The sequence below is a fragment of the Homo sapiens genome, chromosome X (genome assembly GCF_000001405.40).
Source record: "Homo sapiens chromosome X, GRCh38.p14 Primary Assembly".
Lineage (NCBI taxonomy): Eukaryota > Metazoa > Chordata > Mammalia > Primates > Hominidae > Homo > Homo sapiens.
In genome coordinates, this window is record NC_000023.11 from 124,879,038 (window position 1) to 124,897,752 (window position 18,715).

The 18,715-nt window shown below is 35.9% G+C and overlaps 1 protein-coding gene across 13 annotated transcripts in view; it reads right to left on the bottom strand.

Moving 5' to 3' along the window:
- TENM1 (teneurin transmembrane protein 1) overlaps nucleotides 1-18,715 on the bottom strand; it is an 828,410-nt gene that overhangs the window by 503,135 nt on the left and 306,560 nt on the right. For all 13 annotated transcript variants that reach the window (XM_017029210.3, XM_017029211.3, XM_047441760.1 and 10 more), the window contains 2 exons: nucleotides 16,944-17,204; nucleotides 15,259-15,315 (listed from right to left, as the gene is read on the bottom strand). In XM_017029210.3, coding sequence (XP_016884699.1) covers nucleotides 15,259-15,315; nucleotides 16,944-17,204 — 318 coding nt within the window. The remainder of the gene's footprint in view (nucleotides 1-15,258; nucleotides 15,316-16,943; nucleotides 17,205-18,715) is intronic.

The following is an 18,715-nucleotide window of genomic DNA, read 5'->3' on the forward strand; positions in this document are numbered from 1 at the left end:
GTTGTTACATGCATAGAATGTGCAGTGATCCAATCAGTGTATTTGGGGGTATCCATCATGTTGAGTATTTATCATTTCTATGTGTTGGGAACATTTCAAGTCCTCTCTTCCAGGTATTTTGAAATATACAATACATTGCTGTTAACTGTAATCATCCTACTCTGCTATTGAACATTAGAAATTTTTCCTTCTATCTAACAGTATCTTTGTAACCGTTAATAAACCTTTCTTGATCTTTCCCCATATCTCCTTCCCATCCTCTGGTATCTATCATTCTAAACTCCATCTCCATGAGATCAACTTTTAAACCTCCACATATGGGTGAGAACATATATCATTTTTTATTCTGTGTCTGGCTTATTTCACTTAGCATAATGATGTCCAGTTCCATGTTGCTGCAGATGACAGGATTTTATTCTTTTTATGGCTGAATAATATTCCATCATATATATGTACCACATTTTCTTTATCCACTCATCCACTGATGGACACTTAGGTTGATTCCACATCTTGGCTATTGTGAATAGTGCTGCAATAATCATGGGAGTGCAGGTGTCCCTTTGATATACCGATTTCTTTTCCTGTGGATAAATGCCCAAGAGTGGGAATGCTGGATCCTATAGTAGTTCTATTTTTAGTTTGTTGAGAAATCTCCATATTGCTTTCAATAGTGGTTATACTAATTAACATTCCCACCAACAGTGTGTAAGAGTTCCCTTTTCTCCTCGACCTTGTCAGCATCTGCTATTTTTTGTCTTTTTAATAACAGCTGTGATAAGTGGGATAAGATTATATTTCATTTTGATTTGTATCTACCTGATGATATGTGGATTTATGTCTGGGTTCTCTATTCTTTTCAATTGGTCTATGTGTCTGTTTTTATACCAATACCATGCTGTTTTGGTTACTATGGTCTTGTAATAAATTTTGAAGTCAGGAAGTGTGATGCTTCCAGCTTTGTTCTTTTTGCTCAAACTTGCTTTGGCTACTCAGGCTTTTTTTGGTTACTTAAGAATTTTAGGATTTTTTCTATTTCTGTGAAAAATGACAGTGGCATTTTCATAAGGATTGCATTGAATCTGTAGATTGTGTTGGGCACTATATTAATTCTTCCTATTCATGAGCATCGGATGTCTTTCCACCTGTTTGTGTCCTCTTCAATTTCTTTCATCAGTGATTTGGTAGTTTTCTTGGTAGTGGTCTTTCAGTGCCTTGGTTCAATTTATTTCTAGGTACTTATTTTTTTGGAGCTATTGCAAATGAAATTGTTTTCTTGATTTTTCCTCAGCTAGTTCATTACTGATGTATAACAATGCTACTAATTTTTGCAAACTGATTCTGTATCCTGCAACTTTACTGAATTTATCAAATCTAAGAGTTTTTTGTTGACGTCTTAAGGATTTTCTAAGTATAAGATAATATCATCTGCAAAGACAGAACATTTGACTACTTCTTTTTCAAATTAGATGCCTTTTATTTCTTTCTCTTGCCTGATTGTTCTGGCTAGGACTTCCAGTACTATGATAAACAGGAGTGGTGAAACTGGGTATCTTTGTCTTCTTCCAGTTCTTAAAGAAAAGGCTTTCAGCTTTTCCCTATTCAGTATGATGTCAGCTGTGGGTCTGTCATATATAACCTTTATTATGTTGAGGTGTGTTCCTTCTATGCCTTGTTTTTTGAGAGGTTTTTAATTTTTTATCATGAGGGGAATGTTGAATTTTATCAAATGCTTTTCTACATCTATTGAGATGTCCATATGGTTTTTGTCCTTCATTCTGTTGATGTGATGTATTATGTTTATTGATTTGCATATATTGAACCATCTTTGCACCTCTGGGATAAATCCCACTGAATCATGGTATATTATGTTTTGATGTGGTATTAGACTTGTTTTGTTGATGTTTTCTTGATGATTTTTGCATGTATATTCATCAGGGATATTGGCCTATAGCTTTCTTTTTAAATTGTGACTTTCGTGGTTTTAGTATCAGGGTAATGCTGGCCTTGTAGGATGAGTTAGGGAGAATTCCACCTTCTTCAACTTTTTGAAATAGTTTGAGGAGAATTGGTGTTAGTTCTTAGAAGGTTCGGTAAAAATTGTCAGTGAAACCATTCTGTCCTGAACTTTTCTCTGTTGGGAAACATTTTATTACTGATTCAATCTCATTACTCATTTTTGATCTGTTCAGGTTTTCTATATTTTCCTGATTCAATCTTGGTAGGGTGTATGTGGCCAGGAATTTATCCATTTCCTCAACGTTATCCAGTTTGTTAGTGTATAGTTGTTCATGACAGTCTCTGATGACCTTTTGCATTTCTATGATATCAGTTTTTGTTATGTCTCTTTTTTCACTTCTGGTTTTATTTACTTGGGTCTACTCTCTTTTTTTTTGGTTAATGGTTTATTGATTTTGTTTATCTGCTGAACCTACTTTTCATTTGTTGTTCCTTTGTATTACTTTTTATAGTCCATATTTCATTTAGTTCTGTTCTGATCTTTATTATTGTGTTCTTTCTACTAATTTGGGGTTTAGTATGTTCTTGCTTTTCTAATTCTTTGGGGTGCCTGATTAGGTTGTTTGACATCTTTCTACTTTTTTGATGTGCGCATTTTTTTCCCATAAACTTCCTTCTTAACACTGCTTTTGCTGTATCCCATAGTTTTTGTTGTTGTTGTTGTTGTTGTTGTTTTGTTTTGTTTTTTTTTTTTAGACAGAGTTTTGTTCTGTCACTTAGGCTGGAGTGCAATGGCTCAATCTTGGCTCATTGCAACCTCTGCCTCCCAGGTTCAAGCAGTTATTCTGCCTCAGTCTCTGGAGTAGCTGGGATTACAGGCACCTGCCACCATGCCCGGCTAATTTTTGTATTTTTAGCAGAGACAGGGTTTCACTGTGTCGGCCAGGCTGGCCTCAAACTCCGGACCTCAGGTGACCCGCCCACTTCGGCCTCCCGAAGTGCTGGGATTACAGGTGTGAACCACCAAGCCCAGCAACCCCTTAGGTTTTGCTATATTGTGTTTTAGTTTTCATTTGTGTGAAGAGATTTTTTAAAATTTCCTCCTTAATTTCTTGTTTGACTCAATGGTCATTAAGGAGGATATTTAATTTCCATATATTTGTACAATTTCCAAAGTTCCTTTTGTTACTGATTTCTAGTTTAATTCCACTGTAGTATAAGAAGATACTTGATATGATGTTGATTTTTAAAAACTTGTTGAGTCGTGTTTTGTGTCCTAACATGTGGTCTATCCTGGAGAATGTTACATGTGCTGATAAGAAGAATGTGTATTCTGTATCTGTTGGATGAAATGTTCTGTAGATGTCTGTTAGGCCTATTTGGTGTAAAGGGAAGTTTAAGTCCCATGTTTCTTTGTTAATTTTCTCTCTAGATGATCTGTCTAATGCTGAGAGTGGGGTGTCTAAGTCAACTATTAACATATGTAGTCTATCAACTATTAATCTATGTAGTCTATCTCCCTTCTTAGGTCTAATAATATTTGCTTTATACATCTGAGTGCTTTGGTATTGGCGGCATATATGTTTAGAATTGTTACATAATTCTCGCTAAAGTGATTGCTTTATCATTATATGATGACATTTTTGTCTATTTTTAGTATTTTTGACATAAATCTATTTTCTCTGATATGAGTAATGTGATGCCTCCAGCTTCATTAGGATTGCTTTGGCTACTCTGGCTCTTTTTTGGTTCCATATAAATTTTGGCATAGTTTTTTTCCTAATTCTGTGAAACATGTCATTGGTAGTTTGACAGGAACAGCACTGAATCTGTAAAACTGCTTTGGGCAGTATGGCCATTTTAACAATATTGATTCTTCCTATCCATGAGCATGGAACATTTTTCCATTTGTTTGTGTCATCTCTGATTTCTTTCAGCAGTGTTTTTAATTCTCATTGTAGAGATCTTTCACCTCCTTGTTTAGCTGTATTCCTGGGTTTTTAATTTAATTTAATTTTTTGTCTCACTGAATTTAATATCATTATTTTCCCAGGATTTCATAAATTATTTTTTCATTAGAATCTGTTGATAGATAATTATTGTGTTCTTTTGAGGTATCATATTTTCTTGCTTTTTAATGTTTCTTTTGTCCTTAACATTGATATTTGTGCATCAGGTATAACAGTTGCTCCTTCTAATTTTTTTGTATTTGCTTTGGTAGGGGAGGACTTTTTCCTGAACACATACCTATATGTTGGTTGGGTAGAAAATTTTTGCTTTGCTTCTGGGTGCCGTGCCGTAGTGTCATCTCTGTGTGACTCCTTTAGCTGTAAACAACATCAGTAGTGTCTATGATGTCCTCAGTGGCTTAGTGTGCAGTTTTTAGTGAAGGCTAAAGCAAAGTTTTGCTGCAGATGAGGATGCCAGCTGGGCCCCTCCTTGAGCTGCAGTGGTGGCAGTGGCAGGCCAAGTGTGCCTGTTCTTGGGCCCATTCAAGGCAGTGCATGCTGGCACCAGTCTTAGTGGGTCCAGGCAGGTTGATCATTGGGTTTCCAGAAAGCTTGCTCAAGTGCTGGCAATTGCAGCAGTGGACCAAGTGAGTGGGTGGGCCCTTGGGCTGCTGGCCAGCAGGTGTGGCATGGACAGTAGCAGTAGCAGTGACAAGACAACCTTCTATTTTCCAAGTGATCTGTGCTTGTGTTGGCAGTGGCTGTGGCAGGTTGGACAGGCCAATTCCCAGGTCTGTAGGTGGTGCATGCTGACGGGTACAAGCTTTGGTGGTATCAACTGGTTGTGTTGGCCCAACTTGAGGCTTCTGGGAGGAGTGCTCAGTTGTCAACACTGGTGGACTGAGCAGGCAATCCTCACTCTCCTGGACAATGAGCTTGGACACTGGTAGTGGTGGTGCTGGGCCAGGCAGATCTGTATTAAGGGCCTCCTCTTGTGGTGCATGCAGGTGCTGACTGTGGTCGGCAGGGGTAGGGTGATCCCAGACCTCTGGTGGAATGCTTGGGTAGGGGTATCAGTGGCTGCACTGTGTCCCTGATATCAGGGAGCCACAGGTTGTTTTCAGTGGCAGCAGCAATTGTCAGGCAGGTAGGGAGTGTGCACTTTTGCCCTGGGTAGTAGCTACAGCAGGGTAGCCTGTCATTAGGGTGCTTGCAAATGCAAGAGGCTCCACTGCTGGGGGCAGTGGGGTTGCTTCCAATGGCTCATACTTTGACCCTGGTAGCAGCAGCCAGCTGCGGTGGTGGCTGTAGGCAGAGGATGTTCATTGTACTCCAGGGATGTGTAGAGGCAGAGGATGTTGACCCCCAGGGCAGGATGCTGTCTATTGGAGACCGAGCTCTCAAAATGGTGTCATGCTGTAGCTGTTTAGGATTTGGGGGTGGGTGGGGGGTGAGACCCAATGTGACATCTCTCTCTGGAGCAATGCCGTCACATAATCTCCAGGCATATTCCCTATGTTAGTCTCAGGGCCCACATGGATCAAGGGTTCTCCATAGCTAGGACTGCAGGAGTTCACAGTGAGACTGCTGGGGTCTCTCACTTATCCTTTCATCATATTGGGGATCTTTTCCAGGTCCCCAGCCCATTCCAGCTGAGCAGGCTGCCTTGCTTCCCTCTTTTTCCTTGCCTTAGGTACTTCCTGTCACTTCTTTGCTGAATTCTAGCATTCTCCCATAGATGATGTATTTGAAGTGTGATTACTAGCTATTTTGGTTCTTCTTTGTGGAGGAGGTAAGTACCAGATGCCTCTAGTCAGCTAGCTTCCTTTCTCTCTCTAATGACATGTAATTTTAAACAACATACAGTCATGCATTTCTTAACGACACGGATACAATTTGAGAAATGTGTCGTTAGGGGATTTTGTCATTGTGCAAACATCACAGATTGTACTTACACAAACCTGGATGGTATAGCCTACTACACACCTAGGCCATAGGTGTAGCCTATTGTTGCTAGGCTACAAACCTGTAAGCATGTTATTAATACTTCACCGAATATTGTAGGCAATTATAACACAATGCTAAGTATTTATGCATCTAAATATATCTAAATGTAGAAAAGGTACAGTAAAAATATGGTATTATTATATTATGGGACCATTCTCATATATATGGTCTGTCATTGACCAAAACACTCTTATACAGCACATGACTGTAGTTATATTTTTCACATTTCAAATTGGTGAAAAATATTTTAAAGTAAATTATCTAGTATCAGTGAGGGTACACTAAAATGGCCACTATCATGCTTTACTAATGGGGGAGTATGAATCTTGATATAATTTGATAATATATATCTTGAACTTTAATGAAAATATTTTAGAACCCAGTAATTTTATTTGTAGAACTCTACTAATAATGAATAGATCAGAAAGAGACCTATCTTTGATTACAAAGATGTCTATTTTAGTCTTTTTGCTCTAGTGAAATACTGGAAATGTTAATATTCAAAAATAGTGTATAGTTAATTATGTTACATCTACCTAATTAATATATTTAAAATAACATTTAATTAAGACTTAGTAATATTGGAAATTGCTCACATTTTAATTTAAGTGAAATATCAGGTTGTATGGATCCTGATAAGGACACATGATGCACGGAAAGAAAAAGGTAAGATGCTAATTCATGAGAGAATATGACTAATATTTTATTTTGGAGAGAACCTTAAGGATTTTTTCCTGTTTTTCAGTAATTTCCCAATTTTCTTTAATAATCTATTTATTAAAAAATATTACTTTTATAACAAAAAAACTACTGAAAAGATAGTCAACTTGCCTCTGAAGTAGCCAAGATGATTCCCCTTTTCTCTAAAGATATTATTTCAATTATTTCAAAAAATGATCAACTAGGATATATGAAAACAAATTCAACTGCACACATTCAAATTGTGAGCTATTCTGCATTCCACTTTAAATACCTACCCAAAAAATTAACTCTGACCAGCAATCTCATGAATATCTATCAAAAGTGAAAAGATGGACAGTGCAAGGTAACACGAATGACTTAACATGAGCCCATTCCCAAACCAGAAAAGAACAACCAAAAGCATAAGTCCTAACTATGGCAATTGAAACATTATTTTCAAATTCAGATGACAATGTTGTCATTTTATTTCTGGTGAATATAGGCTCAGCCATATTTTTTTCCTTCATTTTCTAAGCTCTTTTTTAAAACTCTGTTGATAAGAGCACTTTAACTCATTTTGGCTTCTTTCACAGTAATATACTAAAGAAGTAAGAGAGTAAATAATATATCAAGATCAACTCCAAAGACTAACTTCTAAAATACTAATTAATTTTAATAGCTACGTTATTTGTACTGTATTTAACTTCTACATTCAAGTTTGCTTTCATGTAAATATATCCATATGTATGTATTATATATTACACATATGCATACCATACATTCACATTTATTATTTATGTGTAGATATTTATATTCTGTTTTTAAATTAAATTTTTAAGCAATTTATTTTTCAAATTGTGGAAATTATAGTACTGCTAGCAAAAACATATACATATATATATATATATATATATATATAGAGAGAGAGAGAGAGAGAGAGAGAGAGAGAGATCCACCAGCTATAAAGTACAAATAGTTGACTTTTACCACTTAAAAATGTAAATCTTATCATATACACACACACACAACACACACACAATGCACCTACTTAAAAAGACAAATATCACACTAGGAAAAATGCATAATATGTAGTGAAGGTTTTTTTTTTTTTTTTTTTTTACCCTTAATATAGGAAGTACTCTAGAGAACTAATAAGAAAATATAAAAATTCATATGGGAAAGTGGGCAAAGTATGTCAACAGGAAATTGAGAGAAGAGATGGAAATGGGCCATTAACATTAAAAAGATGACCAAGGTCACCCATAAATAGAACAAATAATAGCAAGAAGAAATACTGTATTTCATATTGCAGATTGGGTATTAGAAATCTTTCTCATCATTGCCAGTGTTGATAAGTATATGGGAAAACAGGCACTTTTATATAGCTTTAGTAGGTAAATAAATTGGTAGGTCTTTTTTAAGGGGGAAATTTGGTAATATCTAAACAAACATTAAATGCATATATTTTCAACCCATCATTTCTACTTCTAATAAATTATACAAGAGGTGTGTAAAAGATGTGTACAAGGATATTAAGTGCAGCACTGTTTTTAATATCAAAACACTGGAAATCTAGATGTCCATCAACAAGGGACTGGCTAAAAAAAATAACACATATATAAACAGAATCCTATGCAGTCATTAAAAATGACGAGGCAGATTTGTACTACAAATATGGGGAAATATCCAAGATAATATGAACTGGAAAAAATTATGAGACTTTTTGTAGTATGTGATCCCATTTGTACATGCGTGGAAAATTTGGGGAATTATATATAATACATTATTAACCTGACTGTGTCTCAAGAGTGAAACCTGAAGGATGGAGAGGGAGGGGGATGATACACTTTATTCACTTTAAACCTGTTTTTACTATTAATTTTTAAATCACTGGCCAATATTACTTTAACATAAAGATAATAGTAGCTAAAATTACCTACTGAAAAAGAAAATATGAGCTTGTTATATCTACCTTGATAATGGCTTGAAATTCAGTATCATCAAAGTGGTTTTTAATTTTGAATATCACAGTCACCACAGAAGTGTCTCACCCACACATAAAGTAATCCCAATCACTTCCACACTTCCTCTGATAGTGTAACATCTCCAAAGGAGCTGTTACAGAGTCAACTGCACTGTCTCACACACGCCTAATGGGTCCAACAGAGCCATTAGGATGTCAGTTATATGGCAGGGCTCCTGCTGAAGCTATTACCAAGTCATTGCATTGTTTCATACACTTCCTTTAGCAATCAGATGGTTTCTGAGGAATTGTTATCACTGCTATGTAAGGGTCCTATATAACTTACACTACCAGGGGAAAACAAAAAAAAAGCAAAGGAAAGAAATGGAAAACAAACAAACAAATTCCCTCCATCAAATGTACATGGTCAAATATCAGAAGAAATAACTCATCATTTGGGTATAACTATTACATGTCATTCAAGAAACCCAGGCATTAGGCTAGCCATTTTTTTCACAACTCCAGCGGTTTCCTTGAATGAATTTAGGGTCTGAGAACAGCATATGCATGGCTATGATGGTATGTTTATTGGTAGCACATACCGCACTACTTAGGTTCTGTGGTATGCAGTACAGAAGCAACAGGGAGCAGTACTAATGGATTTCTTGGCTGTTATGAGATTGTATCAGATATTCCCTTACCTGTAAAGTTGCTGAACAGAACAACATAGGGAGCTCAGCCGCCCAACAGTCAAGGAAATCAACAGGACTTCTGAGTACTAATTAAAATCCCACCTCTCCCTTAAAGGGTTACTACAATGACAACGGGAAATACAACAGCACAAGTTAACCTGCAGCCAGGTCTGAAGTGCCTCAGGGAACTTCCTCTCACAGTCTTCTAAGTTTAGCAGAACAAGGTTGTTGCCTATTAATAAAATGTTGTATTATTTAAAATAAGACAAGTGCAAGGATTTTTACCTACTTTAAAATGAGCAGAAAGTAGGCTGGGTTCTGCTAGGCTAAAGAGTTCCCTGGGATATTAGGTGTTTCAGAAGCTATGCTGCCTCTTTGTCTAATACGTGATAACAGGTACCTTACCTGATAGCATCTGTCCCATAATACGTGCATAATAAATTAATAGTGATAAACAACAACCACAACTGACATTTATAGAGCATTTCATTTTAACAGACACACTGTAAAGTGCTATATATCCATTTTCTCATTTAATCCTCACCACAAAAACTCCCAAGACTTTGCAGTCACCATTTGACAGATAAAGAAACTAAGACTTGGAGATCTTTAGTTACCTGTCCAAGGACATATAGCAGGTAAATGGCAGAACTAGTGCAAAAACCTAGGTCTGTCTTACATCGTGGTTATTCTTAACCACTTACTATACAGAAAACGTTGTTTATTTATATTGTATTAATATTACCACTTTTACGTTACTAAATGGTTTCACATCCCTTGTGCTCTCAGAGCAAGCTACCGTATCTTTATCATGGTATTAACTAAAGTGTATTAAAATTAGCTTTCAATCCTCTCTAGTAGACCTCTTTGGGTATACATATCCATTTGACACTGACAGCCCTGCATTGGGAATTGCTTCGAGAATCAATTGGGTAGGCTTCCAGAAAGCAACATTTGTATTACTGACCTTACCCCTCATTGTAGCTGATGAGACCAGTGGTAGACAGCTGACTCAAGTTGAGAAAATTATTCTGTCTCCTTGGAATTTAGAAATGGCACTAAAAAAAATCTGGTTAATCTTAGCTTCTTTCCTGAATAGAAGAAATATGAACTAAGGTTTTATGGGGTATGGGGTTTTTATACCTGTCCTGTAGATGGAAACTTAGAGAAACTCAACCTGCAGAGACAGTGTTGAAGGAGATGGGTTTCAAAACAAAAAGCAAGGTCTTAACAATTCTTCTGAGAATTGTTAAGGGACTGCAACAAGTCCCTTCTTGTGGTATAGCCACACTCTTGCCCTGAGTCCAATGGAGCATTCTCACGTACTTTATTTTTTTAAATTGTATTTCTTGTGGGTACCTAGTAGGTATATATATTTATGGGGTACATGAGATGTTTTGATATAGGCCTGCAATGCATATTAATCACATCATATAAAATGAGGTATCCATCCTCTCAAGCATTTATCCTTTGTATTACAACTGATCATATTTCACTATTTTAGTTATATTAAAATGTACAATCAGACTATTACTGACTACAGTCACCTTGTATTCTTATGTACTTTTAATACAATTGTTTTCAGTTTAAGCTAGCTCAAGTTGATTCCTGTTACCCATAATAGGCGATCTTAACTAATAGGGCATCAATCTCTCCCAGTAGACGGTAAATTCCTTGACATTGGGGAATGTGTGTTATTCATCTTTCATATATTCCCAATCTCTAGTACACAGTTTGGCAAAGAGAAGGTGCTTAATAAATATTTCTTGAACAGAAATATCATTATCATCAAGGCTATAACTATAAATAATTTATTTGCAATTTATATTTTATTAAAGATTACAATACTTTTTCACTACCTAGAAAATGTGTTTCCATTTAGCTTCTTGATAAACAATTTTTATTTTCACATTTTATAGTTCAACTGTTCCATTCAGGCCACATGTGAAAAACACATTCTTGGAAATTGATTATTCAAATTTAGCTGTTGATACTGTTTTTTCCTCCAGTTCAATGTGTAGCCAAATGTAACTGCTGAGGGGTACCCTAATCACTGAGGTTGATACTTAAGTAGGACTGTCAAAGTCTTCTAAGAAATGCTTATTAGAAAGTAAAGATGGGAGAAAATATTTGCAAACTACCCATCTGACAAGGGATTAATACCAGAATGTATAAGAAGCTCAAACAACTCAATAGGAAACAAAAATTAAATAATCTGATTTTAAAATGGGCAAAAGAATAGACATTTCTCAGAAGAAGACACATGAATGGCCAACAGGTATATGACAAAATGCTCAACATCATTAACCATCAGAGACCTGCAAATCAAAACTACAATGAGATAGCATCTCACCCCAGTTACAATGGCTTTTACCCAAAAGACAGGCAATAACAAATGCTGGCAAGGATGTGGAGAAATGGGAACACTTATATACTGTCGGTGGGAATGTAATTTAGTACAGTCACCATGAAGAGCAGTATGGAGGTACCCTAAAAAAAACTAAAAATAGAACTACCATATGCTCTAGCAATCCCACTACTATGTATACATGCAAAAGAAAGGAAACATATCATAGCACTATTTACAATAGCCAAGACATGGAAGCAACCTAAATGTCCATCAACAGATGAATAGATAAAGAAAACGTAGTACATATACATAATATAATATTATTCAGCCATTAAAAGAATGAAATCTTGTCATTTGCAACAACATGAATGGAATTGGAAGATATTATGTCAAGTGAAATAAGTCAGGCACAGAAAGACAAACGTCATCTTCTTACTGATTTGTGGGAACTAAAAATCAAAACAATTGTACTTACGGAGATAGAGAGTAGAAGGATGGTTACCAGGGGCTGAAAAGGGTAGAGGGAAGTGGGGGAAAAGGTGGGGAAGGTTAATAGGTGCAAAAATATAGTAAGATAGAATGAATAAGATCTAGCATTTGATAGCACAACAGGGTGACTGTAGTCAATGTTAACATCATATATTTTAAAATAACTAAAATATTGGAATAGGAATGTTCCTAACAAAGAAATGATAAATGCTTGAGGTGATGGATACCCTAATTACCCTGATTACACATTGTATGCCTGTATCAAAACATCACATGTTGTAACCCCAGCACTTTGGGAGGCCGAGGCAGGCAGATCACGAGGTCAAGAGATTGAGACCATCCTGGCCAACGTGGTGAAACCTTGTCTAAACTAAAAATACGAAAGTTAGCTGGATGTGGTGGTGTGCACCTGTAGTCCCAGTTACTTGGGAGGCTGAGGCAGGAGAATCATTTGAACCCAGGAGGCAGAGGTTGCAGTGAGCCACGATCGCACCACTGCACTCCAGCCTGGCTACAGAGCAAGACTCTGTCAAAAAAAAAAAAAAATCACATGTACCCATAAATATGTACACCTATTATGTACCCATAACTAAAGATAAAAAAATTAAATGACCATTAGATCACCTGTCAGAGACAGAGTTGTATATTAGATGACCAGAGGTCTGACACACTGTAGCACTTTTATCCTTATGAGAGTCACACAAGACAAGATCAACAAAAAATATATTTTACCCTTAGAACAATGCATATTTTTCATTTATTTAGTGCCTACTGTGCTCTAGGTCCCCTTGCTAAGTACTGAAGCTACAAAAGTGAATAAATTAGACCCTTTCTTCAAGTAGCTTCCAGTCTAGTGCTTATTAACAATGATTGTTAGGATATAAAATACACAACTCTAGTATTAGTCTATGAAGAGTAGTAATGTTGTTAGTAAGGTGAAATGGGAATAAAAATGACATAGAATAAAGCATGATGGTTGATATCAAAGTATCACCTAGGTATTGACTGTTCACAGGTCCCAGAATGAAGCTAACTTGAATGAATCTGCATCTTTCTTGACAGACAATTCAGCATCAACAGATGATGAAGGGTTTACTTAGGACAAATTTGAGAGAATGGAAACATAATGCATTAGTGCTCTGATACCCCTGTGAAAGGCTCCAGATCCCCTTCTGTCACCTGATGATTTCCCTTCCAGTACTTCAGGCCTTTAAGTTCAAGTGTTTTAGTGTTGAAATTAAGGGTTATTTCTTATAATCCTTCATGAGTTATAAAATGTCAGAGACATAAATTCAATTAAGGGCAACCAAACAGAGTTAAGGAAATGAGGAAAAAAATTCTGAAAGGCTTGGCCAATTAATGAAATAAAAGAAACAAGTCCTTATAAACATGATTTTGGAAATGTAAGTAGAAAACCAAAGTAATATTCTCCTAGGATGAATAGAATAGTAAGCATCTTTGAAATTACTTCTCAGAATATTTCTCAGTTGGACAATTCACCTAAATTAACAATTTCCTCCATCTTCACTTTTTCTAACATTCAGAGCAAGTGAGGCTCAAATGTTCCTAAGCTGATCCATGATATCATGCCCACTGCCTCATCGATAATCTAAAATTCAGAAAGTATATGAAGACAGAAACAAAACAAAATGTCATTAACATTAATTGAGCCACAGGGATGGGCTGGCATGGAGTCTGAGGTAGCAAAACATATACATAAAAAATATTCTAAGTAGTTTTACTTTTTCAGATATAACATGTATAAACTCAAATTAATAAAATAGATGCCTTGATAAGCATGCTTTCATGAATGGATAAAGTCAATGGGAAATAAATAGCAACATTTCCACACAAACACCAAGTTCATTCATTGGAAATAACTTGTTTCCTCAAATTAACATGCTTTTGGAAAAGCCATTTACACTCTTATCTTAACTCAAACCAACTCCTCAAGGATCTATGGAAATGCTGAAGGCAGGCCAGGCATGGTTGTCATCAATTAAAATCTGTGGAATCCACATTGGTAAAATCTTACCATAGGTGATAAATAAGGACCCAAATTATATACTCCTTATTGAAAATATTAGTAGGAGTCAAAGTAAGACATACAGAACAGAGCAGGGAAAAGTTGTTCAAGTTTACATATTGCATACACACATGATCCAAAGGAGAAAGCAAAGCATACTTGGAAAATAATCCATTGCATTCAACTAGATTGTTTCTGAATTGCTGTTTTAATACTTCCTCATATGTAAAATGGAAATAATAGAATTTGTTTCACAGAGTGGTCATAAGGATGAAATGGGATAAAGATATGAAAAGTGTGTTTGGAAATTTTGAAATGCTAATCCAATAATAACAGTGAACATTCATATTCTTCCTACATGTTAAAAACACTGTTCTAAATCCTTATATACTAGTTTCATCCCATTTTTGAGTCACTGCCCTGTGGTGGGATGCTTGGACCCTACCACGAGGTGTTAGAGAAGGGCCCAGCACAGGCCCAGTTGTGAAAACCATTTATAAATGTTACTTTCAGTAGTATCCCTCTCCAAAGGGGCAAAACCCAATGAACACAATGAAGGCAAAAGTAAAAATATACACCAATGCCCCCTTACTAAGGAATGACACAGTGTAAATATAGGTTTACAGAAGAGAATGAACATTTTTTTTTCATTTGAAAGTGTTATTTATGATTGATGACATGGATAAAGTGTGATGCTAAAGCCAAGCATGAACACCTGGAGGAAGAGACCAAGGCCAACTGCTAGGCAACATCTGAAAGTTATGACAATACCTAAACTATACTGAGTTAATTATGAGAGCCATGTAAAACATGGTAGATTTGTAGAAAGTCATGAAGCCAAATCCAACCCAACCTGATTTCAGTCTCTCCTCCCAGGTTAAATAAATGTTTTCTCATCCTACCTGGAATCCTGTTTTATCCTTCTCCCTAGCTCCCCCTTCACCTCCTCTTCACCACCAACATTTTCACATGAAATTTTCAAGAAGAAAACAAACAAATAAGCTGCCACTGTATTCTCTGACAGGTTCATTGAGCAGGCTTGTATGTTGTTTGTCAGAGAAGCAGGGTTCCATTTTGTGGGGGTAGGGTGCCAGGGATGGGGTGAAGTAAAAATAATTTGTGATCAAATATTTGAAAACACTTGCCTTGAGTAGACCCAGCTTGAGCCTCCATGTCACAACAAACAGGAGAGAATTTGAAACCTGTAACAGTAAACATTTCACTAGTTAAGCCTTGTCCAAGTCATCTGCAATTCCTCAAACTTCAACCCTTACCCTTCATCTAGTGGTGCTTAAAAAAAACCCAGCTTTATTGCAATATAATTCACATATGTAATATTCATCCTTTTAAAGCATACAATTCAGTGGTTTTTAGTATTTTTGCAGAGTTGCACAACCATCACATCTATCTAAGTCTAGAATATTTTCATCACCCCAAAAGATACCTCATAACAAGAGACTTGCAAAGGTAGAAGAATAGCAGAGCCCAGTGGGGAAACTTCTTTCATTTTAATGTTTCAACCCAGTGAATATGTCCAGAGTGAGATGAAGGAGAAGATGTCTTGCCAATATAAGAGATCACCTACCACCCCATTTCATATAATTTTGATCATTGTTTTTCCCAACTGAAAGACGAAACCCAGAAAACTGTAGTGACCAGTCAAAGGTCTCCTAACTTCTATCCTAATGCCTTTCACTTACATGAATATGCTACATATGTCAAATATGTTCCCTTCTCATTTCCGTACGTTACTTCCTATACTCTTGGCCAAAGTCAACAATGCATACATGAACACATACATATATGAAAATAATCTAAAAAAAATCAAGACCCCAAGGATACTTGGTGATATTGTAAAGTGTTATGGTCTACTATTTAGGACGTGATATTCTAACTAGTAGGCAACCTCTAATTCCTGATTATATGGCCAGTATCACCTTTGGATTAAAGGAGGCAGAAGAGGACAAAATAGAAAAAACAAACTGCAGGTACAGGGCAGCTGGCTATCTCTCTGCCACCTGAAAAAGTACTAATTACCACTGTTAACAGAGTAAGCCTTGTGGTCATGGTAATGGGGACTTATAAAATGTACACAAACAGAATGATGGAGAGACTAATGTGTTTAATAAGCAGTAATGTGCTTTTTATGAAAAGATTTTGTTCTCTGGTAGGAGCAAAAGAACAGAAATAAAATAAATTAACCCCTTTCCAACAAATCAAAAAGACAAAATTTTCCTTTTATAAAAGTTGCAAGAAAATCATATATGATTATGACATAATGATACTGCTGCTAGTCCTTATTGTCAAGCAAATGGATGATGTTCATTCACCTTCTGGTTTTTTAAACCACTTCAGTCCAACCTGGTTAATTTGCGTTTGTACATTCAACAGGTTAATCTGAATCCAAATAGTAAGCACATACAGAATATGCTTGCTACACAACTGTTCATCTCACTGTTCATTTATTGATATAAAGCCAAAATACATGAAATTTGGACATTCTATAATAAATTCTACTAGTATTGCCGTGGAAAATAAAGATGAAAATAAAAGGTGAGTAATAAACAAAACATGCACGATATTATGGATTACATGAGATTATTTCCCTTGGGGGCTCACCGAAAATGAAAAGTATTTTGTCTGTTATTATAAATAAATGTCTATTTGCCAGATACTTAGGTGCATGCCTTGTCCATGAGTCCCTGCTAACTTGTATTTCCATTCTGCATATTAAATGAAAGAAGGGCAGATATAGGGAAGGAGAACAAAGCAAAGGCTAAAAACTGCATTCTTTCTGTGTTTTACTTAAACAATTCAAGTAGTTTATTACCATTTTCCCCATCAGACTTCCTTTCATGGTCAGTGTCAGTCAAGGATAATGCAGAGTTGGCCCGGCTGGACAAACAGGAACTATGCTCTGATTTCATTCCCCTTATCCACATTCTTAGTGCATGGTCAGGTGAGGCAGCACCTTCTGTCTCTGTGTCCACATCAGATCCCATCTCTAGCTGGTAGCCATGCCGAGAAACGCTGTGCATGTCTGTTTGGTAGCCAGAGCACAGAGTGTGAGAGGTTTCACAGAATTCCATCTCTGAGAAGAAACAAAGTTCAGAGAAAACGTTTAGAAGTATGAAGAAATCCCCCAGAAAATTCTACTTTTTGTTCTCATTCCCCTCTCCCCCATTGGTAGTAATTACGTGTTTTTGCAAGTTAGAATTCTGGCCTTTTATTCATGGTAGCTAGGACTCTGTGCTTATTTTGCACTTCTGTAGCTTAAAATTATGCTCCTGTTGATTCTTACAAGGTTCTGGAAAAAGCGCGCCCAAAATAGTTCTATAGCTACAATTTTAGGTTTCACAAAATGTAATGAAATAAGTGAGTGCAGAGGAGTATAAAGTGTAGAGAGGTGTCCTTTAAAAGATATTTCTTTTCTAGGAAGAATATATATGATCTGCAGAGTGTACCTATGCTTAAAATATTAAAATGATTTGCTTTTCTAAGTATTCCATACACATTGGATTTAAGAATAAATAATTCAATGTGAAAACTCTGAGAAAAAAGCATTAAGTTCAAATGCACTTTTCTAAAGTATTTTTCCTAAAACATGTTAATTTAAACTCTAAATCATCAGTACCTAATATCATTATTTTCCATTGATTTTAACGGAGTTCAAGGCTGACTTTATGCTAATTATTCTATGTAATTCATTTTTTTCCAATAAATACACACAAAAATTTAGTCATATATTGTACCTTGGCAGTGGTTCATGGATTGGATTTCCTCTCCTTTCCCCCTAGATCTTAGAGTTATAAAATTTTCAGAACCTTAAAGATGATGCAACGAATTCCTTCTTTTTATAGTTGAGGAAAATAAACTCCAGAGGATAGATATTATTTTTTCATAGCTCACATCAGATAGCAACAGAGCCCTTTTTCCTAAAACACCCATGTAGGCATGGTTTCTGGTATACAACAACGATGCCCCATCAACTTACTGCATGAATATCAGGCATTCAGTCTTACAGTCAATTTTACATTCAGTTATAGCAAGGTGTCAAAAAGGGGAAAAGATGATTTAACAATTGCTAATAAGTTAATGAAAAATGACCACATGCCAAGACATATCATCTGAAATGTCCATGTAATACTTAGATAAGGTAATCCGGAGATGTAGTACACCATACAGGATTTTCTCAGACTGACATCAGAGACAGGATATGTCATTTGGCTGGGAAGGAGCTTAACTGAGTGCATCTAATCCTTAGCACATATCAATAAAATGCAAACTCTAACATGAATTTAATTCTCTGAATACAGAAAGTACTGGATTTTAGACCATACACTAGAGGAAAGCAAGCAGAATATGAATATATTTTTAAAATAACTATTTTTGGGGCATATAATTACCAAATAAGGGTTTAACAAAAAATTCTTATTGTTTACTTAATACCACTAGGTGCATAGCACTGTGCTTTGTGAAACATATAGTAGGCAAATAAAGCTACTATAATGTATTAGAAATATTCAATTAAAAATTAACTCTTTCAGGGTTATAAGTCACTGCTGAGTATGTTACCTTTTGATTTCCATGATGAATGTATTT